Source organism: Homo sapiens, chromosome 4 (genome assembly GCF_000001405.40).
Source record: "Homo sapiens chromosome 4, GRCh38.p14 Primary Assembly".
Classification (NCBI taxonomy): Eukaryota; Metazoa; Chordata; class Mammalia; order Primates; family Hominidae; genus Homo; species Homo sapiens.
The window spans coordinates 4,303,109-4,327,927 of record NC_000004.12 but is presented as its reverse complement, the minus strand read 5'-3'; the positions used below and the strand labels follow the sequence as shown (position 1 = coordinate 4,327,927).

The 24,819-nt window shown below is 45.1% G+C and overlaps 1 protein-coding gene across 9 annotated transcripts in view; it reads right to left on the bottom strand.

Annotated features, from left to right (window-relative positions):
- Positions 1–6,144: 6,144 nt before the first annotated feature.
- Positions 6,145–24,819, bottom strand: part of ZBTB49 (zinc finger and BTB domain containing 49) — a 31,533-nt gene continuing 12,858 nt past the window's right edge. For 2 of the 9 annotated variants that reach the window (NM_145291.4, NM_001330625.2), the window contains exons 4-8: positions 21,744–21,790; positions 14,814–14,887; positions 12,210–12,292; positions 11,958–12,119; positions 6,145–7,288 (exon numbers count right to left, since the gene is read on the bottom strand). In NM_145291.4, the coding sequence (NP_660334.3) occupies positions 6,612–7,288; positions 11,958–12,119; positions 12,210–12,292; positions 14,814–14,887; positions 21,744–21,790 (1,043 nt within the window). In that variant the 3' untranslated portion in view covers positions 6,145–6,611. Of the gene's footprint in view, positions 7,289–11,957; positions 12,120–12,209; positions 12,293–14,813; positions 14,888–21,743; positions 21,791–24,819 lie in introns of those variants that run through there. The other 7 variants (XM_005247951.5, XM_047449707.1, XM_011513416.2 and 4 more) reach the window with 5 other exon arrangements.

Here is a 24,819-nt window from a genome sequence, read left to right as displayed (position 1 = left end):
CTCAGGACACGCGCCTCCAAACCGGGGCAAGAGAGAGTGCCACTCTCCAACGGGCCCCTGGGGGTCGAAGGGGAAGGTCCCCAGTGTGCTTGGTCAGCTGCCCAGGGTTGCAGAAATGCTGCCCCTGCTGGTGGCCTTAACACGGGGAACAGCCGGGCCACGTCTCTGCCTGTTGCCAGTGGCTATGTTGTCATCTGGCGGCTGGAAGGAAACGCTGTAGCCCTGGGAGTTCAGGGAAGAGGGGCTTGGACCGAGTTCCTCCCGCCTGCTCAGAACCATGTGGGGCCTTCACAGACGTCCTGAGCTGAAGGAAAGTGACCGGAGTTTCACAGGGATTCAGAGTCAGTGTCGAAACACACGTTTTCTGACAAGGGAAGGTGTTTATGGCAATTTGCTACATGAAAGGCGGATTACAAAGTAGGTTGTACGGTATAAGCTACTTTGAAAAGCGTTCGCAGGGAGAGGTGGCTCACGCCTGTAATCCCAGCACTTTGGAGGCCGAGGCGGGCGGATCACGAGGTCAGGAGATCGAGACCATCCTGGCTAACACTGTGAAACCCCGTCTCTACTAAAAATACAGAAAAAAAAAAAAAGAAAAAAGAAAAGAAAAATAGCCAGGCGTGGTGGCGGGCGCCTGTAGTCCTAGCTACTCGGGAGGCTGAGGCAGGAGAATGGCGTGAACCTGGGAGGCAGAGCTTGCAGTGAGCCGAGATAGCGCCACTGCCCTCCAGCCTGGGGGACTGAGTGAGACTCTGTCAAAAAAATAAAATAAAATAAAATAAAAACCTTCAAGAGTCTATATTTCTTTTTGTCTGATTGCAGAGGGAAATGTCTGATAGGAAATAAACTGAGATGTGAACAGTGTGCCGCCGTATCGGATTGTCAAGGGACTTCACGAGAGAACGCATGCGATGCATGAAGGCCTTTTTTCCTTTTTACTTCTTTGTATTTTCTGATATATTTTCCTGTTGTCCATGTATTATTACTTGAGTAATTTAAGAAAAAAGAAGTGGCTGGGCACTGTGGCTCACGCCTGTAATCCCAGCACTTTGGGAGGCCGAGGTGTGAGAATTTCTCGAGTTGAGGTGTTTGAGATCAGCCTGGGCAACATAGTGAGACCCCGTCTCTACAAAAAAAAATTTAAAAATTAGCCGGCCATGGTGGTGCATGCCTGTGGTCCCAGATACTCGGGAAATTGAGGTGGGAGGATCACTTGAGGCCAGGAGTTCCAGACCAGCCTGGGCAACATAGTGAGACTCCATCTCTACAAAAAGTAAAAAAAAAAATTTAGTCAGGCATGGTGGTACTTCCCTGTGGTCCCAGACTATTTGGGAGGCTGAGGTGGGAAGATCACATGAGCATGGGAGGTTGAGGTTGCCATGAGCCGTGATCACCACTGCACTCCAGCCTGGGCAACAAAGTGAGACCCTGTCTCAAAAAGTAGTTAAAATAATAGGGAAGAATGCAAGATGCTCCTGGAGCAGGATGGGTGATGAGTATCATGAATACAATAGCAGTAGGTGTCTCTCCAGATCCATCACAACCCGGCAGGTGAACCCTGCGCTCCATTCCAGGCTGCATCTGATCCTGGCTTGGGGCTTGCCACCAGGTCATCCTGGAACTTTGGGACCCAACTCTCCTGGCTAGGTGGTATTGGGCAAGTTCCTTGACCTCTCAGGGAGTCACTTTCCCCAACTGTCCGTGGGGTAATTATGAGATACACCTTACAGGGCTCTTATGAAGCTTGAGTTGACTTGCAGAGCGTTTACCATTGTGCTGGCACATGATAGACACAATATGTCCTAGCTACTGTTATTATCCAGCAAGTCACTTCACATTTCAGGGTGTCTGTACAATGCGGGATTCACACTAGATCAGCATGCCTTCAAGTACTGTCCTTGCACTCCCTGCCTCAGAATCATCTAGAAAACCAGTTAACTGCAGATTCCTAGGCCTTGCCCCAACCTATAGAATCATTTCCAAACATCTGCATTGTCAACAAGTCTTCCAGCTGAGTCACAAAAGGTTGAAGCCCATGGAATAGGGTACAGTTGCTAAGGTCCCTTTCCACTCAGACATTTTGAGATGCTGGGGGTTTTCTGATGATCTGCCCAGCCTCTTGGCCTCTGCTTCCAACTTGGTAATGGAAGCCAGGTCTTGACGCTGGAAGGTTCTACAGAAACCTAGCCATGGGCCATTCTTAGAAAATCATAGAGCTCTAAAATGGAAATTCTGTAGCCATTGCATGTCAGGACACTGAAGACCAGTGAGAAGAGGGCATTTGTCGCACAGTCAGCTAGCGATGGAGCCAAGAACACAGTCCTGGTGTCCTGACTGGGATAAAAGGTGTGTGCACACATGCGGGAACACACACGCACACACACACTGTTATTCTTGCTGTGGATGGCCCATGCTGTGTCTACAGCACAAGGTCAAGGTCTGGTCCGCTGTCAGATAATTTGCTGTCCAAGTTTGCACTCATGCATATGCAAGCCTTTTCACCTCTTCTGAGATTTTCTTTCTTTAGGATAAGGCTTTGGGGCCAGGGTAACAAGAACAGAAAAGGAAGAGACAGGAAATGTGAATGAAAAGGGCTTTGGGGTTTTGGTTTGTTTGTTTTTGGAGACAGAGCCTCATTCTGTTGCCCAGGCTGGGGCGCAGTGGCACTATCTCAGCTCACTGCAACCTCCGCCTCCTGGTTCAAGCGATTCTCCTGTCTCAGCCTCCTGAGTAGCTGGGATCACAGGCACCTGCCACCACACCCAGCTGATTTTTGTATTTTTAGTAGAGATGGGGTTTCACCATGTTGGCCAGGCTGGTCTTGAACTCTTGACATCTACCCACCTCAGCCTCCCAAAGTGCTGGAATTACAGGCATGAGCCATTGAGCCCAGCTGAGAGCTTTGGTTTTAATGCTATTCCCTAAAGTTTTATTCTACAAGAGCAAATTATTGTCCTCATCAAGCAGATTTATTCAAAAATGTGACTTGGCCTAGGGGTCTTGTTTTCTGAGCCTTTGGCAAATCCAGCACCTGGCATACAGGAGGCACCTCCATACTTATACTGATGAAGTAAGATAACTCTTAAGGTTTTTAGTCTGAGTAAAATCCTGGAGGAACAGGATTGCCATTTAATAAGGTGGCCATGAATTGAGAAGACAAGGAGCTTGGTCTTGAAAGCTCTTAGTCTGGGGTGTCTGTGAAGACGCTGGTAGGCAGCTCAGGACAGGAATCCAGAGTTTTGGGAGGAGTCATGGGCAGACAGTATTTAAGGTCATGAGATGTGAGTGTAAGAGTTAAATAAAGAGGAAAGAAACATGAAAAGCCACTCAACAGTCAAAGATAGGTTATTTTGGAAAATAAACCTGAGAGGGGCTTCTGGCCGACTTAGGTCAGAGGCCCTCTCTCTTACAAAATAAGAGTATTTAAGGGTTCAGGGTGGGAGAGCTTATCACAGGCTCGGAATGTTTCTGTGTCTCTTTGTCTTGCTTATCTGGGAGGGAGAGTTTTTGCATCTGTTCCCACACATCTTCCTGCAGCTGCAGGCATACCACCCGAGTTTGCTTTTAGCTTCCCTATCTCAGCATGCCTAAAGGGAAAGAAATGTGCTTATTAGGGCCCACTGTTTTACTGGGGCCCATTGTATGAGGGTGAAGTTTGGTGGTTACGAAGAGACTTTCCCTCCTCCCTCTGTGCTCAAGCTGTCTTATCTGTGTTTCATTGTCTGCTCTTCCTGGCTGCATTTCCTTGAAACGCATGAGGTTAGAAAGGGAGCTGGAACTTTTGGAGTTGTTTGTCCAAGATGACAGTGCTCCTGCTCTGTCATTGAGGAGATGGCCTAGGGACAGAGCCAAGGCCGGAGAGGAGGTCCAGGGCCTGTGTTCTTAAAGTTGGGGCACCCCAACTTTAAGATGTGTGTTGGGGTAGGGGAAGGAGTCCAAGACAGAGCCACCCGTGCATGAAGGGGAATCCTAGCAGGAGTGGTCCTCTTGGTTGTTGTTTCAAGGAGAAAAAAGGAATGCACTTGCTGCCGACGTGTCATATCCTGCCTCAGAGTCATTAGGAAGGGGACTGAGAATTCTCACTCGGTTTAGCAATGGGGAGGTCGTGGGCCACCTGGGCAAAAAGTATTTCAGTGGAGTCTGATGAACAAGGTTCAGGAGAAAAAAATCAATCAATCTAGGAGGTCCAGTATTTTGACTAAAAAGTATTCCAAAGACATTCATTTGACTATTTGTTACTGAGCATTTAGGGTCAGGCACTGTTCTGGGCACTGAGGATAAAGCAGTGAACAAAAGAGACACAAAGAGTTTATATCCTGGCCAGGCTCGGTGGCTCATGCCCGTAATCCTAGCACTTTGGGAGGCCTAAGCGGGAGGATTACTTGAGCTCAGGAGTTTGAGACCAGCCTGGGCAACATAGTGAGACTCTGTATCTATTTAAAAAAAAAAAAAGAAGAGGTTACATCGTAATAGGGGAAGATTATATAGTAGGTCAGATGGTGATAATAAGACTTAGTGAGAAAAAGCAGAGGTGGGAAATCAAGGGGTTGGGGGCAGGTTGGTTTTAGATGGGAAAGTGCAGAGTCCACGGGCACAGATGTGGGGAGGTAGGGAGGTGTTATGGGAGCTTGAGGAATGTTCTTTCCTATTTGTTTCTTTTTTCTTTTCCTTTTTTTTTTTTTTTTTTTTTGAGACAGCCTTGCTCGGTTGCCCAGGCTGGAGTGCAGAGGTGCGATCTCACTGCAACCTCCGCTTCCCAGGTTCAAGCGATTCTCGTGCCTCAGCCTCCTGAGTAGCTGGGACTACAGGCATGTGGCAGTATACCTAATTTTTGTATTTTTAGTAGAGATGAGGTTTCACCATGTTGGCCAGGCTGGTCTCGAACTCCTGACCTCAAGTGACCCACCTGCCTCAGCCTCCCAACGTGTTGAGATTACAGGTGTGAGCCACCACGCCTGGCCCCTATTTGCTTCTAGGTTCTGAGAGAAATAGGAAGCAAGGCCATAAGGAGGAGGACAGGCGAGCTGCAGAGGTCTGAGAAGATGTGACACAAGTGCCTAGGGCAGCACGTCGCCTGGATCAAGGAGAGGGGATTGTAGGATACGGCGGGGGCTCAGGAGAGCTGTAGAAACTAGAGAATGGCTGTTTCTCACCAGCCTGGCTGGGCTCCCTGTGTGTAGTGCTGGAGGTTCACCAGGTGGAATGGATAAAGGGGTTGGTGGGTGAACCATGGCCAAGGAGGGTCCACAGGGACAGCTAAGGGGATGGATGCACTGTAGGTGCTGGGAGGCTGAAGAGCTACACGAGTTGGGATGAGGGAGGAGCCAGAGGAGGCCATGAGAGGAGAGGACATGGGGAGGAAGGAGGAAGATCTGCACTCACGTGCGGCCATTGTGTTCCAAGTTCACTCCATGTGTGCAATGGGGACAACAGATGCTCGCTGAGCCAGCCTGGCAGAAGCGTAGTGCAGCTGATGGATGGGAAAACACGAAATGCACCTGTAATGGACTTCAGAGCTGATGCCCTACTCTGCAACTGTGCTGTTTTTCTATGAAAATCCTCTCCTCCTCACTGGTCTCTCGTTGAGTATCTTGTACTTCTGAGTTAGAGCTGCTCACGAGTATTCGAGGGTGCTCTCCACACAGTCCTCCGTGTAGGGTGCTCTCCAGTCTTCCGTGCAGGCAGTGCTATAAGCAGATCACCTGTGACGTGCCACATCCCCAGTCTCACCTTGATATTCCAGCGACAGAGCCACGGGCACATCTCCTTCCTGCAGAGGCTGTCAAGCCCGCTGGGAAGGGGAAGTAAATATTTAGAACGCCCTGTCAAGGGCCAGGCGCCGGGCAGGTATTTTCAAGTGAGTGCTCAGATCAGACAAGCCTTGTGAAAATACTGGAAGATGTTCCTCTCATACTGCAAAAAAGAAACTCCAGAGAAGATCCTGAGAGGGTGAACAGCTCACCCATGACCTTGCCAGTAAGTGGCAGCCAGGAGTCAGGCAGTTCTGACCACTGAGAAACCCGCTGTACCAGGAGGGAGACTGACCAATGAGGTTCTTATCCTTGCAGAGTGAGTCCTCGCTGCTATTTATTTTTATACCCCTATAGTCTTTAGATTAATAAAAATGCTAGAGGAAACATATAATATATAGAAAAGTTTCATTTATTCGAATTAAATTATGGTATGAGTTTCATATACAAATAAATTCTGTGTAAATAATACAAAATGCTACAAATTTCAATCTTGTAAAAATGCAAAAATACTTGTAATACTATACATATATAATTCCTTTCACATGACCAACATGTACAGTAGTTGACACGATGCACACGCGCTTCCCCCCCACAGCTGAGGCTGCTGAGACAGCATCAAGCCTTCGCTTCTGTGACGTCAGCGCTCCCTCCCGCGGCTGCCTCACGGTGAGCCAGCAGGCCCTCCCCCTCACACCCCCAGCTCAAGATGCTTCAGATTATGAGCCATCATCAGGAGGGAAGCTACCTATTCTCTGGCTAGTTAGAAGGCACTGTCATGGGGAAACTGGGTCCTCCTACAGCCTTAACACCAGCCTGCTAAACTGAGAACACGCCTCTACCGTGGAGAAGCGCGGTACATCACTGGTCTAACTCGTTTTCATTCTGCAGCGTCTTCATCGCTAGCCCCCAGAGAGTCATGCTGGAGAAAAACTGACCCTCTGAGTTCCTATAAGTGGTGGAAGATGCTCGACTGCCCAGGGGGTCACCGCCGTGGTTGTCCAAAGCAGCCAGAGAGGAACGGATCATGGCCATGCCATCGGCCTGCAGTGGTTCGCCACCGGCTGGGGTGTCCACATCCGAGTAAGCATAGGCCTGAGGCTGTGTCTGCTGCATCTGGGGCTTGGCAAGTTTACCAGGATCCAAACTCAGCTTCTCCTGGTCACTAACTCCATGAGGTTGGATCATGGACCGTAACTTACAATAGGAGCCGCCAGAGTGGCTATCAAATTCTGCCACAGAATTTTCCACTGGGTGGACAGGGAGTTTAACCGACACTGGCATCAGCGTCACAGACGTGTCTTGGGAGAAAGAGTCTGAGCTCTGAGATTTCTCGAGGTCGGAGGTCTCGATGGCTTGGCTGAGCTCCTCCAGCACATCTGGGCTCTCGTCACCAGCTTTGCAGTGCATCTTCTTGTGCCGCCGGAGCACCGCAGAGCGGGTAAAGCACTTGTTACAGATCTCACATGTGTACGGCTTCTCCCCAGTGTGAGTGCGGACATGCCTGCGGAGGTCACCTGATCCCCCAAAACATTTCCCTGGAAAAAGAAAAACAGTTATTTATTTACTTAAACAGGGTCTCACTATGTGGCCCAGGCTGGTCGTGAACTCCTAGCCTCAAACAATCCTTCTTCCTCAGCCTCTCAAGTAGCTGGGACGACAGGCGCATGACACCACGCCTGGCTAATATACATATACATTTTGTAGAGACAGGGTCTTGCTATGATGCCCAGGCTGGAAAAAGATGCTTTTACAGTGGCCATTCTGGAAGGATTCTCCCCTCCCCTCCCAAGACACTGAACAACCCTGATCTGAGGAGAGGGGGTCACCTCACAGCTTCTGCTCACTCTGGAAGGCTTTCCATTCCTGTGGGAGGTGCTTCTCCAGCTGCGGACCCCTCCAGCAGACAGCCTTTGGGTTTTGAGTATCTCAGTGTCAGTCCTTCGATTCTCACTGAGTCTCCCTGCACATGGGTGCCGTAGGCACCTGCCAAGCCCATGCTGAGAAACCACAGCTCTCCTCATCAGTTTCACTACATGTTCATAAATCTAACACAGCCAATCTATAATTTAGAAACATCTTTTCTAAAGGTGTTTGTGTATTCGGGTGTTTGTCTCGAAAAAAAGAAAAAAATCGCCCAGGCTGGAGTGAAGTGGCATTGTCTCGGCTCAGTGCAACCTCTGCCTCCGAGGTTCAGGTGGTTCTCCTGCCTCAGCCTCCTGAGTGGCTGGGATTACAGATGCCTGACACCACGCCAGGCTAATTTTTGTATTAATATTTTTAGTAGAAATGGCATTTCACCATGTTGGCCAGGCTGGTCTTGAACTCCTGACCTCAAGTGATCTGCCCACCTCAGCCTCCCAAAGTGCTGGGAGTGAGGCGCCCAGGCTGGAGTGAGGTGCAATCTCGGATCACAGCAACCTCCACCTCCTGGGTTCAAGCGATTCTCATGTCACAGCCTCCCGAGTAGCTGGGATTTACAAGGTGTGCCAACACACCAGGCTAATTTTTATATTTTTTGTAGAGATGGGGTTTTGCCATGTTGGCCTAGCTAGTCTTGAACTCCTGGCCTTAAGTGATCAGCTCATCTCAGCCTCCCAAAGTGCTGGGGTTACAGGCATGAGCCATGGCGCCTGGCCCTGTATTCAGCTTTTAACAAAATGTTATGCATTCCTGTCCAGGTTCTATTTTCTTTCTCTGTGAATATGGTAAAGGTAAGGGATCTAGCTCCACCACTGGAATAGGTAAGATGAGAAGGAACTCAGCACATAACCTTACAAAGGCCACAGACTAGCCAAGAATGAGCTGCACAACTCACATGGACAAATATTTAGAACTTTTCACTTTACATCTGAATTCTCAGCTATCTAGCTCCAGTCAAGCAATGGCTAGGCTATTTTTTTTTTAAAGCCTTTGAATAATCAAACTGGATGTGAGCTTACATGCCTAAACTTTGGGCACATTTTCCACATAAAAAATACTGTAGGCCAGGTGAGGTGGCTCACACCTGTAGTTCCAGCACTTTGGGAGTCTAAGGAGGGAGGATTGCTTGAGCTCAGGAGTTCAAGACCAGCCTAGGCAACATAGTGAGACCCTGTCTCTACAAAAAATAAAATAAAAATTAGCTGGGTGTGGTGGTGCATGCCTGTGGTCCCAGTATTTGGAAGACTGAGGCGAGAGGACTGCCTGTGTCCAGGAGGTCGAGGCTGCAGTGAGCTGTGATCGCACCACTGCACTGCAGCATGAGCAACAAAGAACCCATCTCAAAAAAAAAAAAAAAAAAGATTAAAAAAAACAAAAACCAAAACACTGCAACAACACATCACAGTGACCTTTGCCTTTGTGCTTTCATGTCTGTGTTTTGTCCACAATGTAAGGCTCAGGCTCCTTCACAGAACACTAGAGTGAAAGCATATTTAGTTTCTGTGTTGTCCTTATAACACACACTTTACTCAGACATGCGGAATTTTGTGAATTAGAAGCTTCACTGCTGCACACGGTGGCTGCTTCCAACTGTTTGCTGCTCTAGCATAAAGTTTTTATCTTTTTTGTTTTTTTGTTTTTGTTTTTGAGATGGAGTCTCACTTTGTTGCCCAGGCTGGAATGCAGTGGCACGATCTCGGCTCACTGCAACCTCCGTCTCCCGGGTTCAAGTTAATTCTTGTGCCTCAGCCTCCTGAGTAGCTGGAACACACCACCATGCCCAGCTAATTTTGGTATTTTTAGTAGAGACGGGGTTTCGCCATGTCGGCCAGGCTGGTCTCAAACTCCTGACGTCAAGTGATCCACCTGCCTCGGCCTCCCAAAGTGTTGGGATTACAGGCGTGAGCCACCACACCTGGCCAAGTTTTTAATCTTTCTTTACATCATTTCTTCAAGATAAATTCTCAATAGTTGAATTACTGAACAAGATGGGACAACCACTTTTAGCATCCTTAATATGTAAAATTTTTAGTCATGACAGAGTTTCCACCAAGAAAGAGGAATATGGGTGCCTGTCCTTCATCTTTCGAGTCGAGAGGAGCTTGGCTCCACCTGTGTCCCATCGCGAGGAGGGCACAGGGGAATGACGCCCACCTCCTGCACAGTAGGTCTAGTAGGGGACAGGCGGGTGGGCGCCACACTGCTGTGGGCCTGCAGGCCCCTGAATACAGGCCTGAGGGCTGCCACCCACTGTACAGAGGCATGCTGGAGCTGCTCTCAATCAGCAGGGGAGGCTGCCCGGAGAGCAGTGAAACCCCAACGAAGCCTCCCTATAGGAAGCTGCCACTAAAACCAGAGAGCCAGGAAAGACGCCAGCTGAACGGAAATGCATGGCTGTGCAGTGCAGGCCTGCATCTCGGAAAGCGCAGTGAAATGCTGGGGGAAGACAGGGAAGGCAGACTTGAGAACTACGAAGCCCAGCACGCATAAGACAGCGAGAGCACACGAGCCTGCGAGCAGTTTGAAACACCGAGAAGCTCAGCATGTGAAACCCTCTTAAAAGAGAACTGTCTATATATCCAAGAAAATGGAAACACACCCCCACACAAGCCTTGGTACACGGATGTTCATAGCTGATTTGCTTAGTGCAAGAAGTCGACTACAAAATACCCCGTGTTGTATGAGTCCATGCATAGTAAATGTCTAGAACGGGCAAGTCCACAGAGACAGAACCTAGATGAGTGGCAGCCAGGGGCCAGGGCTGGGAAGGGGGTTGCTAATGGGTATAAGGCTTCCTTCTGGGGTGATGAAAATGTTCTAAAATTAGATTGTGTTGAGAATTATACAACTTTGTGAATCTACCAAAAACCAATGAATTGTTCACTTTAAATTGGTAAATTTTATGGTATGGGAATATTGTCTCAAAGCTGTTAAAAAACTGACCCTGTCACATAACATTCCTCCTCTCTTCAGCGCTCCCCCATCCCCCAGAAGCTGACCTCATCAGAGTGTGAAACCAGGGTTAGTGAGGCAGGGAAAGGGCAGAACCCAAAGTGGGGCAGAGGGGACGGAAGGCCCCACTTCCTCCACTGCAGGGTCTGAGCAGCAGCAAGTCCTAGCTGGGGAAGGAGGACAAAATTTACCATTAAATCAAGTTCACAGTTGTGATAATTATTTGGAACTGACATTTTAAATTAGTGATTTGAGACTACACTACTGATGCTTTGAGATGAAGCTCTCGCTGTCACCCAGGCAGTGGTGCAATCTCGGCTCACTGCAGCCTCGGCCTCCTGGGCTCAAGAGATCCTCCAGCTTCAACCTCCCAAGTAGCTAAGATTACAGGCGAACGCCACCACAGTAGGCTCCTACGTTAGTGATTTAAAGTGATGAAACTTCACTTTCTAAGAGTGATCAGAATGGTCATGGAGTTGCCTAAATCTGTATCCAGAAGATCCGTGTACAATTTAAATGCAGGGACAAAAACCGAGTTTCCTCTGGTTATATGCAGAAGTCCTGCTGGTTTCAGATTCCAATTACAATTAGAATGTGCCTCTCTGAATGGTGCCCTGAATCCAGGCTCCCTACAGCTGGACTCTGTGCATTTCTTATTTGGTCTAAACAGTTCATAAAAGTTGCTGTCACTCATAGTTTTGCCCATGATTCAATAGGCATCTCAATTACTTGTCACGGGTACACACTCTCCCTCTTTAGAGGCCATGTGTATAGGAATCCTGGCTCCAACGCTGTGATCACAGGTCATGAGCTACCTTACCCTGAGCCTCCGTGTCCTCATCGGAGCAGTCAGGTGCCCTGAAACCGAGGGCTGCCAGCTTTCCGCTCTCAAACGAAGCATCAAGTGCCCACGAGAATAAAGTCTGCTCTGAAGTTTGTGATCTATAGAAGCCGACCCTCTGATCCCAGCACGTGCTCCTAATGCTCTGGCGGGACCGCTGCTCTCCTTCATGTGCAGCCACACGTCCTGCTGTCCCCTACTTTCCCAGCCACCCTCCCTCTTCCCATCTGGACCAAGAGCCCTCAGCACCTGGGACTCTGTCTTAGTCATCTTTGTATTCGGAGCGTTTAGGACAGTTCCTAATACCTCAAAGACAAGCAGCAAATGCCTGACACACAAATGCAGGAATGAATGAGAGATCATGTGAGGCAATAAAAAAACAGGAGGAAACAAAGGGCTCATCCCAGACACGCACTCAGCTAATGAGGGCTGGGGGACAAAGCCCTTCCCACACACAGATGACTAGGGGACAGCCAGAAACCCAAACTCACCGCAGGCAGAGCAGCTGTAAGGCCGCTCCCCCGTGTGCCGAATTCTGTGCTTTACTAACTTCCTTTGCATATTAAAAGACTTTCCACACTCATCACAGGTGAAGACTTTATCAGCCGTGTGTGTCTTTTTGTGCTCCTTCAAATTACTGAAGTTACTAAACCCTAGAGAGACCATAACAGGTGTTAAGCTGAAGGACAGAGAACATTTTAATCAGAAATCTTCAAGAAGAATAGGAAAACACTCAGCTGTACCTCGACCACAGATGTCACACAAGTGTGGTTTTTCTCCTGAGTGAATAATAATGTGACGCTGGACGTCGCCAGAGGCTGCAAACCTAGAATGTAATTTGAAAATTCAATTAAGAGCCTTTCCACATTACTGTGGGTCTTTATAACTGCAACTCTCTGAGGGAGGAGATACCTGCTCCTGACACTGCTGCAGAAAGGAACGTGAACTGGACTGGTTTCATCTGAAACGTGCATGGAAAAAACCCTTTTCTATTTTTTTAAGAAAAGCAGAACATGATGCAAGTGTCTTGTTTTTAAAGCATTTTTTTCTACCTGATTTCATCACACTTTCTTCCTCAGTTTTACAGAGCACAAGATCAGATACCGTACGGTTCAGCATCACTACCTTAGGGGCCACAAAGAGAGTGAAAAAGGAGTCTCCCCAGTTCAGAGCCAAATGCCCCTTCCACCCTTGCAGTCCTGCCAAGGTTCCTGGGGTCTCACGGGACAGACCCTAGCTGGGTGGTGCCAACCCAAGGAGGATGACCTTGAGAGGGCCCAGAGTGAGTTCTGCCCTGGTCTAGCCAGGTGCGACTCTCGCTCTTTTCACTATAAAGTAAAATGCAAACAGGAGCTCAGAGTCTCAGGGACCAAGAGGTATGGCTGTCACCCTCCACTGTGAATATCCCCAGAGAATAAGCTCTCCTCTTTCTGAGCCACAACAGAGACTTACGCCTATCAGTCCTAACATTGAGAACAAGGGAACTAATGGAAGAAAGGGAACCAGCATTCACTGAGCAGATGCTGTGTGCAGGTGATCGGTTACATGTTTAACAACCATTATCCCATCTAGTCATTCCACAACACTGCCAGGCAGGCATTTTCACCTCCACTTTCCAGATGGGAAAACCAAGTTCAGAGGCGGTTACTAACTTGCCTTAGACAATAATTCCAACCCAAGCCCTCAGATGTGGAAATCTATGTTCTTTCCTTTCCACTACGCTTGATAGCAGAGTATGTTATATTCTAAGGAAGACGCTGCATATAGGTCTGGTTTCAAACACACGCCTTGGCTGGGCACGGTGGCTCACGTCTGTAATCTTAGCACTTTGGGAGGCAGAGGCGGGTGTATCACCTGAGGTCAGGAGTTTGAGACTGGCCTGGCCAGCATGGCGAAACCCCGTCTCTACTAAAAATACAAAAATTAACCGGGTATGGTGGCACATGCCTACAATCCCAGCTACTTGGGAGGCAGAGGCAGGAGAATCGCTTGAACCCAGGGGGTGGAGGTTGCAGTGAGCCGAGATTCAGCCACTTCACTACAGCCTGGGCAAAAGAGCAAAAACTCTGTCTCAAAAAAATAAATAAATAAAAAATAAACACATGCCTCACTTTGAAATGGAATTCAGAAAGTTCAGATTTCAAACACCATGCAAAACAAGACATGCAGGGGCCAACAGTGAAGTGATGCCATCAGAGGCAGCAGGAGGGCTATGCTCCCAGGCATCTGGAAGGAGCGGCAGATGACACTGGGCCCTGAACTTGACTTTCAGCGTTCAGGTAGCTACAGCAGAAAGGGAGATGCGCTGCCCGCCGCAGCTTTTGTTTGTTTTCTACCATTGGCAGAGAAATGGTTTTCCTGAAACTGAATCGAGAGTCGCTTCCTCCTCGGCTTTCCCCAGCATGTGCTGAGACTGAATATGAGGACACTGACTTCTAACTGACCCCGTGACTATCTCTTGCCTCAAGGCACTTCGGTATGAATCTGTGACAGGCAGAGACTCTGTACTGTTTATTTTTATGGACCCATATAGCACTTGGCATACAGCAGGTGTCTAAAAAATGTTGAATCAATGAATGATTAAATAAATGAATATAAAAGCTACGTAACCAAGGTGCGTACAGAGCTTCGTGACTGGCATAGTCCTGGCTGATGCCTGTTGTCCTGGCACAACCACCAGATGATGGAGTACGTGGCCTGATTGACGTACAGCCCAAGGACAGGAAGGAGGGTCGAGGGTGCCAGCCTGCACACACAGCAGGGGAAGAGCTCCTCATTTATACCACGCTGCAGAGGAATCGAGCTGCCACACACTTTATTCCACGTCAAGAGTCAGATTCTCTTTTGCCAGGTCAAAATCCTACCCACCCATCAAGACTTAGTTTCCTCCTCCCTGGGGTGGAGCTCTCACAGGCTGTTACAGACCCACGGCTTGTGGCACCTTCCACCACCTCCTTCTCTCCTGAAATCTAGTCACTCAGCTGCCAAGTCCCATTTCCCCTACTAGACAGTCACCTCCTTGGGGGCATTAATCTATTATATTTTCAGAGACATTTTTAGAATGAATGAAAATATTAGTATAAAATAATTTTGTTGCATTTAAAACCCCATTTCCTTTTTGGGACTCCTGTCCCAGCTTTTCTTTCTTTGAATTAACTTTTCTTTTTATTATTCTCTCGTGTGTCACATGCAAAGCCAGAAGGTTTGAATTTACCTGTGTTCTGCAGTGGCAGGGTGAGCCCACCTGTGGCTCATCTGTGAGCCACCACTTCAGAAGACACTGACTACCAAAGACACTGAGACTAGACATGCTCCCTTCCACACGGAAGAACACGCCCAGCACTGACCTCTTTCCACAGATCTCGCAGATGTATGGTTTTTCACCAGAATGCCGTCGTAAGTGAGTCTGCAAGTTACCTGCCTGCAAAAAGAGGAAAAGAAAAACACACCAATAATGAAAGTTTTTGGTTTTTTAAATTATATAAATTCAAAAGGAAAACTGACACATTTAGCCAGGTTCCAATTCAAATTCCAGATGAAGATGAGCTACACACAACTCAAAAGAAGCCATGGGCAAGAGCGTGAAGAGCAGCCAGAGTGCCTGGCCACCTGCTGTACACGAGATGTGTCTCCACCCCGTCCTCCATGTGAGCCCTTGGCTGTGTCCTAGTTCAGGCAGGCCCTATGCAGTGCTTCCCTCTTAACAGCACCCTGTGGAGGCTGCTTTGGTGGTCGCCAAGCCTGGACTTTAAATAGGCCTTGATGTATTTTATTTGGGCCATGTATTTAAAACATCACTTAAAACAAACAAAAGCACCATACGTCCTTATTTCAGTATTGTTTCTTTCTAAAAAACATACTTCTGTTCATAAAGAAGGGAAGACATTTCCAAAAAGTACTTCCTCTGGCAAGTACACTTGGTTCTTTCTGACAGGTTTCTCAATTTTACCTTTGTGCAAAAGGGCAAATCAGGAGAATCACAGCAGCCTCTCAGGTGCAGGGCCATTGTGTTCCTAATTTCTGAAACTAGCAAGGCTTTGCGAAGAATAACACTGAAACGGAGATCATCAGATGGATTTCTATGTACTAATCAACAGGAAATCAATATTAAATTACCTAAAGTACAGCGAAATTAAAACTGCAAATGCCTCAGATATTTAAAAAGCTAATTGCTAATGTTTCGAATTAGGTTTGGAAAATCTTCCATTGCTGTAATTAAGTTAATAGTCTCAACCTTTATTTTCCTCATTTTAATTTTGTACAGTGTTCTGTGGCAAAAAAAAGAAAAAGAAAAAAAAGGAAAACCTACTGAAATGAGGTAATATACCCAGCGGTAAAAATGAGCAGGTGTCATGCACAAGATAAGTGAAAAACGAGAATGAATACTAGCCAACTAACACACGGGGCTTTTTTTAATTTGCAAATTGCATTTTAAATAAAATGCAAAGATTAAGATTCATGGTTAAGATTTGAAGATGAGTTTGATATTGACTTGTGAATGAAAACTAGAATTCACAAGTATTAAAAATGCCATCTGCGGACTATATAACATGAAAGATTCATCATGTCTATCAAATTCTGGGAAACAGAGTTAGACATTACATTTAAGAATATGATAAATGTGGCTTCGAAAAAACTCAAGTTTATTTTCAACAACCAAAGAGAAAGAGTTTGACAAAACTTTGGAAAATGTCCAGCTTTTAATAGAATGGCTCCTAATAACAATAAAACAAATATCAACAGCAATATACATTTGCTGAACTTCAAATTAGGCCTTTACCACCTATTTTCTTGAGATAATAATACAACTAACACTGTATTCAGATAAACTGTACAATTACCATTGTATTCAGATAAATAAAGGAGTTGTCTCAGTTACATGGTGGGGCCAGAAATTAATACTGGTTGCTGTGAATCTAAACTCCTCTACTTGTGGGGAAACCTTGAGGAAACACAAGTTTCTATGAATGAAATAGTGTGTTTTGAATATTCAATATGACGGTAACTTTGCCACTCAGGAAACACATACTGGAGAGTTAAAAATAATACACCAGTGTTTTAAATTAGTCACTTGCAAATTTCAGAAAAGCTGATCAGTTGCATAATAATCGGAATAGCACCATCTGCTGAACTGTTAAATTAGAGCCCTCTTTTTTCGGTTATTTTGTAAACTATGTATTCTGAATGAAATGCATTCTGGGTTAATTCTTAGCAATGTTGCATTTTTCCTTTTTAAAAATGGCATAACGATTACTTGTTTTCAAAAGAAATATAATCAAATGATCTTCCATTTAATATTTTAAGTGGTAGAAAAATCTTTAAAGTGTTCTTTACCTATTTTGTACTAGAAATAGATAATGAAAACAATCTTTCTCCCTGATACAGGAATGCATATTTCTGATAAATAATATAAAAGCAGATTAAATAAAACTAATGGAATGGGCCATGCAAAAAATCCAATAGTACATTCAGATAATTTATTCCAGGTTACACAGCAAACTCAGGCCCAGATTATTAGAGCTTTAGTCAATATTTTTATTTTTGGTAAACTTTTGATATATTCTAGTACTAAGGATATCTTAGGTGCACAGACCATGTCTTAGAAATCACCTATAGTTGTGTCCATAAAAATTCTAGCAAGTAGGCCGGGCGCAGTGGCTCATGCCCGTAATCCCAGCACTTTGGGAGGCTGAGGCAGGTGGATCATGAGATCAGGAGATCGAGACCATCCTGGCTAACATGGTGAAACCCCGTCTCTACTAAAAATACAAAAAAAAAAAAAAAATTAGCCAGGCATGGTGGCGGGCGCCTGTAGTCCCAGCTACTCAGGAGGCTGAGGCAGGAGAATGGCGTGAACCCAGGAGGTGGAGCTTGCAGTGAGCCGAGATCATGCCACTGCACTCCAGCCTGGGCAACAGAGCAAGACTCCATCTCAAAAAAAAAAAAAAAATTCTAGCAAGTGGTAATAATAGCTCTCGTTTATTAAGAACTTACTATGAATGAAGCTCTTTGCTAAACCGTTGCGAAGAGTATTTAACTTAGTCATCACAATGTCTTGTAAAGCAGTATTATCCATGTTTTACAGAGAAGTCAACAGAGGCTCTGAGAGGTTAGTAACCAGCCTTGGGTCATAAAATGGGGACTGAATTCACTAATTCAGGTTTGCCTAGTGACTCCAAAGTTTGGACTGTTAAACCTATGTTAACGATATTAGCAGTAAAGGAACTTTGATCCTTTCTAATACCATTTTACCTTCAAATGGAGTTAGAATTTTTAACAGAAAAACTATGCTGTAGAGAAGAATTAACATCTGCCTTCAGCAATTTTTATAATAAACTCCTTCTGACAGGTACTTGAACCTCAGTATTTAAACATGAACAAACCCAGCATCTATTCCCTATCATGAGCACTCTTAACGGCAGTTGAGTGTTTATATCAAAAAAAAGTCAGGAATCGTAATCATTTAGAGATAAAAGAGATCCCAGATATTAAAAGTCAGCTAGCTCAGGAGTTTCAAGACTTTAGGATTTCACACAGCGATAAAATTAAAAAGAAAAAAATGTAAGGTTTAACATAGAGATATCACTTAAACAATGACTGCTATTTTGATAAAAGGACATTCAACGGTAAAGGTGTGGCAAATATAACCTCAGAGATGACAATGTAATAGCTTGGGCCAAGCTCACTAAGTGTCCTTATTTTTGTGTTTCCACCATGGATGGCTGACACTGTCACCTCTGGCATGAGTCCACATCAGCACCCTGGAAATGCCTCCTATAGGGTAATCCTGCAGAAGGCACTAGGACCCCCGGACTCGGGCAGACAGCTGGCTAGACGGCGCTGCTGGCAGAGTACTGCCTCTCAAAACCCGTCTCTCTGTACCAGCTGCCCAGTGTTTCTGTTTCTGCCTACTTGGAGGAACAAAAGCAATCCTACTCCTCTCCCCAAAGACAGGTAATTACGCCGCATTTTCTTTCCCGTTTCTCAAATGACAAGCGCTCAAAACTTGTCACTCTTTTGGTTCTCTCCAGTGCCCTCCAAACAGTCCATGTTCTACGCCACAGAGGAAACACTTCCCTCTGACTGCGACTCAGTCATACTCTAAAGTAGGACATGACTCTTCCGTTAAAGTATGACATGACTCTTCCCTGCAGAGATCTGGACACATACAGTGTCCAGTCACACGGACAGATGCAGCTTCTGTGGTCACTCTAAGATGATGCTAACTTCCTTATGCTGGCATGCCATCCTCATAATGCAGGCTGCGGTTAACTATTTTAAAAAGACTAACCTACTAAATACTAAATTCTCAGTAAGCAGGATGAGGGATTCTTATTTGTAAATGTTTTTATACAACAGCATTCCAATTCCATGTAACCACAAACATTTATTCTAGTTCATTACAAGAAAATAATGTTAGGCATACGGTGGAGGATGGGCCGGTGGGCATTCTTTACCACGCATCCCTATGCAGACAATCTGACTGCTTTCTTGCCCCAGCATGCCAGGGATGCCAGGCTTGCCCAGTGCCTGCTTGTCTGCAGGGCTCACCTAAGCAATCTCTCAAGCATTTCATGGCCTCATGCTGTCCCAAACACACCTTTCAGGTAGAAAGGACTACTGCCTTTTCTTTGCCCACACTGTTCCCGTAGATAACTGTCAGCAGTTCCAACATTTCACTGTACTCGATCATTTACACGTCTGTTGCTTCCTCTAAACAATAAGCTCCTGGAGGCCATGGCCATTTCTGTCCCCCTTCCCGGCACACAGCAGAGCTCATGGACAGCACATGGACACTGTAGGCTTGCAACAAACATTAAAACAGTTCCTTGTTCATCAAAATTCATACTTTACTATGAAAATAAAGCAGCAATATACATCTGAAAACTATCACTATGTATGACTCTACAATCACAGAAACCTAACAAAAGTACACAGACCAATACAGAAGGGAAGGGTTTCTGGATCGGGCAGGGCTACCCTTGGTAAGATTTAAGAGAGCAAGTGCAGGTCAAGAGCTATAGTGGTGGTTCTCAACCTTGGCTGCACACCAAAATTGCTGAATTTTTAAAAATACTGATACGTGGCTGGGCACGGTGGCTCACGCCTGTAATCCCAGCACTTTGGGAGGCTGAGCCTGGTGGATCATGAGGTCTGGAGTTTGAGACCATCCTGGCCAACATGGTGAAACCCCATCTCTACTAAAAATATAAAAACTGAGCTGGGCGTGGTGGAACGCACCTGTAGTCCCAGCTACTTGGGAGGCTAAGGCAAGACAATCGTTTGAACCTGGGAGGCAGAGGTTGCAGTGAGCCCAGATTGCGCCACTGTACTCCAGCCTGGGCGACAGAGCGATGCTCCATCAAAAATAAATAAATAAATAAATAAAACATCAATACCTAAGCCCCACTCCAAATCACAGAATCAGAATCTCTGATGTGGGCACCAAGGATCCGTGCCAGGAGAGAGGAGTGGAGGTGGACTGCAGCCTGACTGAATGTCGGGTTTTAACTTATATGGTCAGCTATGGAGAGTCAGAGAAAGCATGAGAAGGATGGAACTTCTACTCTCAACATAATTTAAATGTATAAAGGGCTTTCAGCTCTAGTTTTTCATTTCATTTTCCCACTAGTTCCACGAAGTAGTATTATCCCTATTTTAAGAATTAGAAAAATGAGGCCCAGAGAAGTCGCAATTGCTAATTATTCATGGTCATTAGTCCGAGTCTCATGCTTTTCCCATCAAACCACAGCTGCTGAGATGAAAACGGTGGGGGCGGGGAGGTGCCTCAGAAAGACCGGCATCTGGGGGTCATGAGGATGGACAGGAGAGGAGAAAGCGGATGGCAACAAGGTAGGGAATGCTGGCGTTTCTTGAGCGCTTACTATGTGCCAGGCCCTGCTCTAAGGACTTTCCGTTATTACCTCATTTACTCCTCACACTCTATGAGGTTAACTAATCTTGTTATCCGTGTTTCACAGATAAGGAAACTGAAGGGGCAAAAGGTGAGACTGCCCAAAGTCACAGGGTAGTGACGCCCTGACAGAGGCAGAGCTCAGTTCTAGACTGTCCAGCCCCAGAGGCCAAGCTCTGAACCCCAGGCCAGGCTGGCAGGAAGAAGCGGAGGCTCATCAAGAATGGCGGCTGGAGGGACGAGCACTCAGCTCAGCTTATCAAATCCTTCCTGAGCATCTGCTGGCTGCTGGGTGTTCTCCTGGATGGGAGAGAAGACATGGCCCCAGGCCCAGAGAAATGAAGTGCTCAGGAGGACATGACCCGACCGAGTACGCGATGAGAGACGGCGAGGACTTGGTGAATCCCAGCAGGCAGGGACTCAGAGAGTGGGAGGGTGAAGAGTCATTAAGATGGCAGGTTTGGGTGTGTGAGCAAATGGAACTGACACCCTCAACAGATGAAGAGAAACTGGAAGAGTCTGCTCTAGGGGGAATGCGAGCAAACACGGCGCTTGCCATTTCCAAGCTCTGCGGGGCCTGCCTCCCAGCTCCAGAGGCATGCACTGCTGCCACAGGATCTACCATGCTGTGTGAGACAGTCGTGCCAGTGACTGTGCCCTGAAGAGCTGCGCCCTCACGCCCTGGAGCAGCTTCCATCTGATCTACCTCTGGAAGCCCAGGGCACTGCACATGGCGGTGAATAGTTACCTTCTGTTTCAGAAAGAATAGGTTCCCACAAGCCATTTTCTAGAAAACATTAGGTCTCTAGGTTTCTTTGTGTCCCATGCCCAGCACAGCACCTGGCCCATGGGAGGGTAAAACAAACGTTTCCTCAAGGACTGAATGCCTATGTGTCCAAATGACCTTAATGGAGGTCAGCTAAAGGTAGCAGTCAACACAGGGAACAAAACTTGTTTCATCTTTTTTTCCAACATCCTACAATCTACAGTCCCAACAAGAATGAGGAGACCTAGTTGTCTTCAGCCTAACCCAGCACAATGTGCAGCCTCCAGGTACGCCAAGCTCAAGGTGGTTCACTGTGAACTTCATTCATGAAACGGAAGACATATGCTAAGTTTGGACTCATCCTTAGCAAGGCGAAAAAAGTATTGTAAGAATTCACACATGAAAATGCTATTTTTCTCTCAAAGAACTAGAAATCTGTTTTCTTGAAAACGATTTATCCTAATTTATTCTGAAGTCTTTAAGTTACAGACATCATTAGAGGCTTCTCTCACAAGTACAAAAGTATGTCTTATTTCCAATAAAAAAACACTGTGTTGCAGGTTTCCAATTATTAACAATAAATAAGAGTATTCCCACCTGAGAGAAATGTTTCCCACAAATGTTACATTCAAAAGGTTTCTCACCTAAAACAAAACAAAACAACAACTTGTAAAATCATTACTAGTATTTGTTCAATAATTTTTTGTTTAAATGACCTCCTATGTACTTTCAAAATGGCATTACATTCTGCATCCTAACAGTATGAAAATAGGGAGTGTCTACTTCCTTATATTTCTCTCTTGCCTTTATTTCTACACAGAGATGATAAAAGTAATATTTTCCTCTAAAAACTTAAACTGTTCTCCAAACAAAACTTATGTTAAAATCAATGTATTTATTTGCATCCAGAGCAGACCCACGTTCTGGAAGTGGTCTTTTCCTGTGGTTGAGTTTTCCTGCTGAACAGCACGATCCCGCTCACCTATTCTTCAGCCTGATGCCACCCAACCACCAATCCTAACAGACACAGGGTCACTGGTTCACACCACACAAGGTATGAGCACAGAGAGCCCCAAACACAGTGGGTCGTCCTGAAGCATGAGTGTGAAAAGGAAAGAGCCCCTCACCACAGTCTTCCTGCCTTGGTTCTCACGAGAGAAAGTAAGATTTCATTTTGGGAGATGTGCTCCTCTGCGGACTTCTTTATCACCTCTAATTTCAATAACTAAGTAACTGCGCTTGGGGACAGAACAGATTCTAAGAATGGTACTCTACTACAAAAAAACCACAGCTGTTCTGAAATGTGGCCTACAGAACATGATCTGAATTTAAAAGCACACTCCATGGTACTGCCTTTAATCTATATAACGCTAATGAATAGACTTTGAACACTAAGAACCTCTCATTTTCTCCATTTCCCTGAAATCAAATGGTTTCATTAAGATCTTCTTTAAAAAGTAACAATAATGTTTTCCCTTCCTACTATATCGTTGGGGCTTGCTACCTTGAAGAAAGCAGCTTGCTAGCTTTCTGGGCTCATTCTAGGATATTTTAATTTTATTTTATCCTGAAAATGTCTAATGGCTTCCTTGACCCTGAATAATTATATTTATATTAATAATAAATTAATAATTACATTAATTCTGTATTGCAATAAATGAAACTACATTTATGTCTGAAATTATTGGGGGTGACAGATAATAAGTTAAAGCCCCCATAAGAAATATAAGAATTTGAAAAGAGAGAGAGGTCACCAGTTACTAAGACTAATAAATGACCAAGGTTAACAATCCTACTCCAGTAGGCCTCAGACTTTTTGGCCTCAGGACCCCTTCACCTTAAAATTGAGGTCCTAAAGAGCTTTTGTTAATATGGGCTATAGCTATTGATATCTACCATACTGGAAATGAAAACAGAGTGACCTTTAGAACAGGTAAATACACACTTCACAGGCCACCAGGGTGAGGACTTCATCACACATCATGTAGCTTTGGGCAGACTAACTGTACACTCATAAGAGGAGGAAAAAACAACTAACATCTTAGACAATTTTGAAAATAGTGTTGGCCTCACAGACCCCCAAAAAGGGTTCCCCAGACCATACTTTGAGAATTGCTGCCCTTCTCGGTAGAATATTTATGTGCCAGTAAGCATCTTTGCCATGACTGTATCTGTCATTCAAAGAGGTTCTCCCAGAATAAACAATTTTTGATTCCTTTAAAAGCTAAGCAGGTAAGTTTCACAATAAAAAATTACAGCCATCGGGCCAAGCGTTGTGGCTCATGCCTGTAATCCCAGCACTTTGGGAGGCCGAGGTGGGCAGATCACTTGAGGTTAGGAGTTCAAGATGAGCCTGACCAACATGGTGAAACCCTGTCTCTACTAAAAATACAAAAAAATTGGTGGCGCATGCCTGTAGTCCCAGCTACTCGGGAGGCTCAGGCAGGAGAATCAATTGAACCCAGGAGGCAGAGGTTGCAGTGAGCCGAGATTGTGCCACTGCACTCCAGTCTGGGCAACAGAGCGAAACTCTGTCTCAAAAAAAAAAAAAAAAAATTGCAGTAATCATTAGGCTGTAGGAGATTTAGGCAAACAGAATCATCTAAAGTTTTTTCAGGGCAAAACTAAGTCTGTGATATTGCCTTCACGTGGAATAATTTTGAACTACTAGTGATAATAACAGTACTTTATATTCAAATGCACTAAAATGTATAAAGGGCCTTCACAATTATCAAAGAAATCTCCCAATAATACAAGGTCGTAAAATGCAAACTGTGAATCCATAGTGATAACAGAAGGTCACATCAACAAACACAATTACACAAACACCGTAAAAGCAGCTGCTGTGGAAGCATCCTGTTGCATGTTACTTCTCATGCCTATAAGGTAATTGTTGTTCATCTGTAATGTGCTATTAAACTCATGTTTAATTATAGGAAGAAAAGTAATATATATGTATTGTATAACATAATGTGTGTGTGTGGAGATATATATATAGAGAGAGAGAGAGACACACACACAGAGAGAGAGAGAGAGAGAGAGAGAGAGAGAGAGAATACCTTAAAAAAATCTTTTGGGAAAGAGAAAGAGGCATGAATTAAGATAACAAAACTTTGAAAATTCAATGTTTAAATTGGAAGAATTTTCTTTTGAGAATATCAAATGGTTAAAGCTGATTCTTATTAAAAAGTTTACTTCCTGACTCCCAAATTAGAATTTTAAAAATTAGACACTCAAATTCCTTCCAAGAGAACTTGTAGAATCATTCAAAGTATATTAGGTTAGTCTAAATTAACCTATATGATGCTTTCAAAAAATAAGCTTAATCTAATTCTAAAAAGACAACTAAATATAGCTTATCCATTTTAGAATTAATTTGAAATTCTGGGTGCACCAAAATTACTATACTTTCTTTAGAGACAGATGGCTTGTCATATAAAAATGTAGTTGAAATAAAAATTAAAAGTATGCACCTTTTTAAAGTGACTTTATAAAACCATTTACAAAACTTTAAGTCAGATGCATCACCAAAAATATAAAACAAAAAGTAGTTAATCCCCCTTATTTTGTTTAAAATCATCAATGACATCAAACAACAGCAAAACTTCTTACAAAAACAAGAAGAGCCAGTGGTGTCTGAGCATCCGCATTACGTCCTTCCCTTCTGCCTGTG